At 40.9% G+C, this 8127-nt stretch overlaps 1 annotated feature.

The window, feature by feature from the left end:
• Window positions 1111-1170: an enhancer, noted in NCBI's record as "active region_20598". NCBI's record gives its function as "activates an Ori minimal core promoter by ATAC-STARR-seq in GM12878 lymphoblastoid cells {active_cell/tissue: GM12878}" and the evidence as "EXISTENCE:reporter gene assay evidence [ECO:0000049][PMID:35858748]".

Consider the following 8127-nt stretch of genomic DNA (forward strand, 5'->3'; position numbering starts at 1 on the left):
GACTTAGGATGTAAACTTATTCTTGCTGACAGCTCTTAAATTTGTCATTGTGGCATATTGTTCTAAACTAGAGAGTTTTAAAGGAATTAATCAGATCCTTTTTTTAAAAAGAGATACATTTTTAGTAATCAAAGCATCTTCCCAGTTTTCTAAACCTTTATCTGAATCTGCGACTATATAATCTTTCCCTTTTTCAGAAGTGTTGGGGTTAATTTGTGCCTGTTTTATTATAATAAAGGACAGCAGGAACTAATTTTTCAAAATATGAGTAGTTATTATCTTTCTTCTGGTTTATCTTTGAGGTCTCTTTGTCTTTGAGGAAAGTTATGGAATAATCTTTTACATTAAAAAACATTTATCTTCCCAACTCCAGTTTACTAGAAATAATGGAGAGTGTTTGTCTTCAAGTTCAAGAAGACCAACAGAATGAGACTGGAAGGGCAGCCAGGATAATTTAGTAGAATCAGCCTTTTTAGGATTTTATACTGTTTCTAGGAAGTTCAGTCTATACTGATTCTTATTTTATGGAATGGCTATTTTCTAGGGAAATGATCTTCAAATTTTTTGAGTAATGATATACATAGTTTATTCACTATAGAATATTTCTTGGATAGACATCCTAAAACCTAATGACTCTTGCTTCTTTTGTGGCCTTGAGGAAATTATCTGGTCATACTTGTCCCATTGTAATTCAACTGAGTTAGGATTTGAAAAGTATTAATAAAAATGTTAGTGAAGCACTTGAAACCTGTTGAAGAAAGATAAATAACAAGATGAGATAATTCTTGATTAATTATTTTTGATTACTCTCTTAATTTGGAATCTAAGGTTCTTGAACTGGACTCATCCCAGTTTTAGTATTTGGAGAGATCAAATACTTAAACGCACCTATGTGTTCACAGAAAGCTTTTTGGAGAATGATAAAGCCTAAAGAGCTCTATCATTAAATCAGATCCTATTAGACAAAGTATTAAGCAAAGGCTGATCAAATTGCTCATACGGTTCATATATGATCTCACCTTCCACCCTAAGTAGTAGAGCAAGGTTGGCTGACTCCATGGAGCAATGAATTAGGGGAAGAATGCTTTTGCCACATCTCAAAAGATCACCAACTGACACTGGAAAGGGCTCTCAACAGAAAGATCCCTGCTTTTGTTTACCTCACAGGTTGTGCGGTGGAAGAGAGAGGACTTACTTGGCCAAGCTCTGGAAATAGAAGCCCTATCTATGGATGCTGTGACATAAACCTAACTTTGGTTGGACTGGCATTAGTCCAGCTTCAGGAGATGAATTGTTATTGTTTAAGCCAATCGTCAGCTTTCAGGCGGGCATGTGAACGTGTTCTAGACAAAGAAACATAAAGAGAAACATAAAGAGAAAACTAGGGGATTTCAAGAAGGATTTCCCTCCCCTATAAAAAGTGAAAGCCCACAGTGAAAAATCCCCTGTCCCACACTTGCCTGCTTCCTGCTTGGCAGTTTATGTTAAACCAATCCTTCTCAAAGCGTGGTCCCCACTTTGAGAACCACTTGGGTACTTGCTAAAAATGCAAATTCTCAAAAGTTAACATAGCAGGCCTGAGACTAATTTCCTTAGAAGGCCCTACTTGAGAAGTTAGCACTGTTTGGTATCTAGATTTCACCCTCTAATCAGAGCGACCCACTGTGCCTAAAATGTACAAACAATGCCATTTATGCTGAACACCTACTTTCCTTCTGGGAGTCTGACATTTTGGTATATGCTAGGCAGAGGATGCCTATGTGACTAGCCCCTAGTGAAAATCTTGGTCACTGAGTCTCTAATGAGCTTCCCTAGTAGATAACATTTTACATGTGTTGTCACAGCTGATTGCTGGAGAAATTAAATGCATCCTGTGTGACGCCACTGGGAAAGAACTCTTGGAAGCTTATGCCTGGTTTTCTCTAGGCTTTGCTCCATGTGCCTTTTCCTTTTTTGCTTTACATCCTCTTCCTGTGATAAATCTTAGCCGCGATAACTGGAAAAAACTAAATCCTCAGTTAACCCTCACCCCCCACCAGACCTACTCAGTCATGAGCTCTGCAGGTGGAACCAACTACTGCGTTTTAACAAGTCTTCTAGGTTATTCTGATACACATTGAAGTTTCAGAGCCTCTGGTAAGGCAGTGATGCTTGCAGCTACTGCAAACTTCTTGGCCCTTGACCTCATGACCCCAGTAGTGATGACAGCACTAAGTGACTTAGAGCCTGAATCCTTATGCTTCTGAATTAACCAATTCAGGACTTATCTACCTTTAGATTTCTTGAATGAGAGAATAATATATTATTGGCTGGGTGCAGTGGCTCACGCCTGTAATCCCAACACTTTGGGAGGCTGAAGCGGGCAGATCACCTGAGGTCAGGAGTTGGAAACCAGCCTGGCCACCATGGTGAAACCCTGTCTCTACTAAAAATATACAAAAACAATTAGCCAAAGGTGATGGTGGGCACCTTTAATCCCAGCTACTCGGGAGGCTGAGGCAGGAGAATCACTTGAACCTGGAGGCAGAGGTTGCAGTGAGCTGAGATTGCACCATTGCACTCCAGCCTAGGTGACAAGAGCAAGACTCCCATCTCAAATAAATAAATAAATAAAGTAAAAATTAAAATTAAAATTAAAAAGAATGTATTGTCTAACAACTTATTAAATTAAAATAAAATTCGCAGCAAGTTCTTTGACACTGCTCCAATCAAGAGGAGACCCTTGTGCAGGCCTCTTGAATCTGGGCTTGCCTGTGTCTGCTTCAGCCCATAGAACAGGGTGGAAGTGATGCACTTTCAGTCCTAGGCCCAACTTTTAAAAGGACTGTCAGTTTTTGCTTCCTTCCTCCTGGAGCCCTGAGCCAACATGAAAGAAGCTCAACTGCCCCCAATGCCACTGCACTGCTAAGAAGCTTAAGCTAGCCACGTGGAAATGTGGTCAAAAATAGAGTCTTACATGGCCAGTCCCTAGTTCCAGCCCCTTGCCCTTTGAGACCTCCTAGGGGGAACTCAGGGGTTGGGCAAACTATGACCTACAGGCCAAAGCTGGTCAATTCCTTATTTTTGTATGTTTTTTGAGCTATGGGTGGTTTTTAGATGTTTAAATTGTTTGGACAAAATCAAATGAAAAATATTTTGTGACATGAAAATTTTATGAAATTCATGTTTCAGAGTCTATAAATAAAATGTTTTGAACACTCACTTGTTTGCATATTTTCTCTGGCTGCTTTCATACCAGAGCAGCACAGTTGAGTAGTTGTGATAGAAACCATGTGACCAGCAAGCTCAAAATATTTACTATCCAGTCCTTAAAAGAAAAAGTTTATTGACCCTTGTTATAATTGATTGACCTGCTTTACTCCACTTTCTCAAGAATAGAAAAAAGACCATATGCTTCCAGATTTTCCAGTTATTTATGTACATATTGTTGGGCTCTTATAAGCAGGAGGTGCAGTATCTCTTTCCTAAGACCATTGTCCCTTCCCCAGAATTATCCAAAAACCCTGAAGAGTAAGTCTTACTTCTAATTTCCAGACAGAGAGGAATTCAGTAGTCCACCTATTGCTTCATCTCTGCCACACTGTATTACCAGGTAAAAGGGCCGCACTGGTGGATCCTTGTCCTCTGCTACCCTGAGGCTTTTACAGGTACAGATACCAGACAGGCCAGGGTGGTGAGCTCTCCATGTCACATATACTTGGCTAAGCTTCACTTTTAGAGCAAAGTTGTTAGCTGGGATGGCTGGGTCATAGCCCAGCTGTCACAGCAGCCCTTTCCCCTCAACCTGTAGGCTCATATGTGACCTGGATCACTAGACCAGATGCCCCTTCTTCACACTAAGTTCCTCTCTAGGAACTTTGGTGTTATTTTCTGTCCATAGACGTTGGCCAGAATCACTGTCATCCATCCCCACAGTATACCTTAACTGTGAACCTTACTTCCCAGAAATCCCTTGGGTTCCTCATATGGATTTGCCTGGACTTCCTTCAGAGCTCTGGACAGATTTTGCCAAACTATGTGGAGGAAGAAAGGTCTTCTTATATTTTCCACCAAAGTAAGAGAGGAAGGCTTCCTAAGTGACTCTTATCAGAACAAAAGAAATCTGCTTTAATGTAATGTGTCCCTCTCCAAGACACGAAATTAGCTGATACAATTTTTACCTACAGCAAAATGAAATTGGCAGCAAGTTCTGTGACACTGCTCCAATAAAGAGTGAAAGAGACCTTTGGTGCACACCCCTCAAATCTGGGCTTGCCTGTGTCTGCTTCAACCCATAGAACAGGGTGAAAGTGATGCACTGCCAGTCCCAGGCCCAACTTTTAAAAGGACTGTCAGTTTTGGCTTCCTTTCTCATGGAGCCCTGAGCCACCATGAAAGATGCTCAACTGCCCCAATGCTACTATAATGTGAGAAAGCTTAAGCTAGCCATGTGGAAAGGTGGTGTGGAAATAGGGAGATTCTTCTATGGCTAGTCTCTAGTTGCAACCTCTGGCCCCTTGAGTCCTCCTAGCTGAGACTCCAGAAATCATGGAGCAGAGATGAGCATTTCCCATTTTAACTTGTCCAAATTTCTTACCTGCAGAATCATGGCTGCAATAATAAAATATTTGTTTTAAGCAACTACATTTCTGGACATTTATTATGCAGCAATAGATGCCATAGAACCTACTGTGTTGCTAAATTTTAACACTGATTAAAGATAAGCTAAAATCTGCCTAAAGAGAAATTTCCTTCAAATAAGGCCTGTAGTTTAGTTAACAGTGTTGTACCAGGTTAATTTCCTAGTTTTAATAATTGTGTTATGGTTATATATAATTGTTACATAAATTGTTAGGGGAAGCTGGATGAAGCATATAAACTCTCTGAACTGTTTTTGCAGCTTCTCTGTAAGTCTAAAATTATTTCATAATAAAAAGTAACCCAAGAAGTCTTACTTTATACCTCTTCTTTTTTTCTCTGAGGCAGCATCTGCAAAATGTAAGCCTTCTGATGGAAAATTGTCATCTGCTTAAATCTCCCAGAAGCTTTGGAGTGGTATGGCTATAATATGAAAAATGTAGATCTCTAAATTTCCACCTAGGTTGTATTCATCTTAGAACACTGCACCCAGAGTTTGGACAGAACTTCTGAAACTTCTCTACAAGGCTCTCAGTGGCCCTGTCTAAAGGGACAGTAAACAAGATGAGAGGAAAACCTAAATGGGAGTCACTTATCCTGTAAAAGATACAGCAACCAGAACAACCAGTCCCATCAGTTATGCAATTACACCTACAGAATGTCTTGCAACACAACTCTTCCTTCTTTGCTCAGAACATCACTTTGCTTGCATCAATCCTCATCTTAAAACACAATTAACCCAATACTTACTTTCTTCTGACATCTCACCCAAAGAACTTCCAAGCCCAACCCAAACATAATAAAAATTGTGCACTCAATTTTCCTAATGAAATACCATTTCTGAATTGCCTATGTGATATTCCTCATCGCTGGAGTAAGCCAATAAGACTTAGTTTACTTATTGTGTAACAAGTTGCCTGCCTGTCTTCCTTCCTTCCTTCTTTCCTTCCTTCCTTTCCTTCCTCTCTCTTTTTCCTTCCTTCCTTCCTTCCCTCCCTCCCTCTCTCTTCCTCTCCTCCTCTCCTTTCTTTCTTTTTTCTTTCTCTCTCTCCCTCCCTCCGCCCCTCCCTTCCTTCCTTTCTATCTTTCTTTCTTTCTCTTTCCTTCCTTCTTTCTTTCCTGGAGACTCGCTCTGTCACCCAGACTGGAATGCAATGGCATGATCTCGACTCACTACTGCAACCTCTACCTCCCAGGTTCAAGCAATTCTCCTGCCTCAGCCTCCCAAATAGCTGGGATTACAGGTGTGCACCACCATGCCCAGCTAATTTTTCTATTTTTTAGTAGAGATGGGATTTCACCATGTTGGCCAGGCTGGTCTCAAACTCCTAACCTCAGGCGATCCACCCACCTCAGCCTCCCAAAGTGTTGGGATTACAGGTGTTAGCCACCATGCCTGGCCACAAGTTTCTTTCTTGAGGAAGGGCCTTTCTACAAAGAAGAGTGAGGGAGGTTGCAATTGAAGCTCCACTGTATCGAGGGATTTTTAGGTGGGTTGCGGAGAGAAATTTTTCTTGTAAAAAGAACAGATTTAAATTTGAAGCAGGACAAAAAGGCTGTATGTCATTATTCATTTCATTTTTCATCTAAATGTGCCAAGTGCTGAGGATTTAAAGGATAAAATGATATCTCTTTTTGTGATGTAAGAGACAGATGTATAAGCAGTCAGGGACAAACAGTGATGGCCACAAGGACAGAAGAAAGTGCATGGGCCTTGGGAGCAGGAGGCTGGGGAAGCTGTCTTTGCCTGGCATCTTATCAGTGCCACTTCCTTGTCCTCACTCAGTCTGCTGCAGCCACACTGGCCTCTTCACTGTTCTTCCAACATGCCAAGCTTGGGCTATACCTCAGGGCCTTTGTACTGGCTGTTTTCTCAGTCTGGAACATTCTACTCCCCAAGTGTTCATGCAGTTCATTTCCTCACTTGCTTCAGCTTACATGTCACCTGGCTAAAATTTCAACTTTCCCCATGCTTCATTCCCTTTCTCTTCAGACTTTAATATTTTTCTAGCACATATTTTACTTGTCTTGTTTACTGGCATTTTCCCCCAGTAGAATATAAACTTAATAGGGGCATGAAATTTATCTGTTTTGTTTACCATGGTATCCCCAGAGCTTGGAACAGTGCTTTGCTCTAGTAAGTGCTCAATTAATGTTGTTGAATGAATAAATGAGACAGTGAGGTCTTTCCTGACTTCCCTGTCTCTTCCTATAACCCTTGCTCTGCTTAATTTTTCTTTATAAGACTTGACAAACTTCCTATTTATCTATTTTGTTTGTTTGGTTGTTGTCTCTGCTCTCTAGAGCATAAGCCCCATGAAGGCAGGACTTCGTTTTATTCTTTGCTATATAACTCATGTGCCCAGAGCAATATCTGGAAGTAGGTTAATGCTCGGTGTTTTTGAGCAATGAATTAATAATTGGGTGAGTGAGAAATGGATAAACAAATAAATGGACACAGGTCATTTGGTGACCATTTCCACACATCCTGGGTACAATTCACTAGTTATAGAGTCATGAGGCTCAAAGACCAATCTTCACTAAACTGGGCCTCTCTGAGGGTATTTAAGAAAAAGCCAATCAAGTAAGAGCCAACAGAATAAGGAGCCAGGAGCACCCTGCCTGAGCTGAGCAAGGGCTCAGCTCAGTTCATCCAGGTACTTACACATAAGTCCTGTTAGACTTTTAAGCTGGCCTGGACGTGGGTAGACAGGGTGTGGGCACTCCTTTCTCTCAGATGGAAAGTTGCTTCACCCAGCAGATGATACAGAGACTGAGATTTCTTCTCCTAAATAAATCTCTCCATTTCTCTGTTCTGACAGTGCCTTTCGTTTTACTCCTATCACCATCCTAGGTGTGAGAGGGTGCAAAAGAGAAAAAAAGAAGATGCCATTGTTCATTCCCCAGCACCCCTGGCCTCAGTAGAACATAAGAACTATCTGAACTAGAGGGAATTTGCATAGCTTCCTCATTACATCCTCATTCTCTGCCCTCCCACTCCCCACCCCCTTTAATTCTGGCCTTTAGAAGCTTTGCAGGGTTTTTAATTACAATCAAAAAAGGGCATGATCAATAGTTAAGTAAAATAAAATAACAATACTTAAAATTACAATGGAGCACCCCAAACGATCGACGGTTTATTCTCTGCCTTAAAATAAAATAGCTTTCATCTTTTCCCCCTTACAACAGCCTCCTCCGCCTAGATAATGCATTTCGTTAGATTTATTTGCTCAGCCCTGAAAACTTGACACTAAGGGGATTATTTAGTTTTAGATTTGCTGTAGTCCATAGTAATAGCCAACAGGAAAAGGAATGAAGCAGCAATATTAGCAGGGCAATGGGAGGGGAGGGGGCTGTGCAGTTTGCAGCTAAGCAAAACTGCTTGCATAAACACCATTAAGAAGATTTAGACATCGCTTTCCTTATCATCAGCACTCCTGGAAGAAATAAAAAAAAAGAAAAAAGGGAAAGGGACAGGCCTTGACTTGCTGTGTATGTGTTTCCATTAAA

Source organism: Homo sapiens, chromosome 3 (genome assembly GCF_000001405.40).
Source record: "Homo sapiens chromosome 3, GRCh38.p14 Primary Assembly".
NCBI lineage: Eukaryota > Metazoa > Chordata > Mammalia > Primates > Hominidae > Homo > Homo sapiens.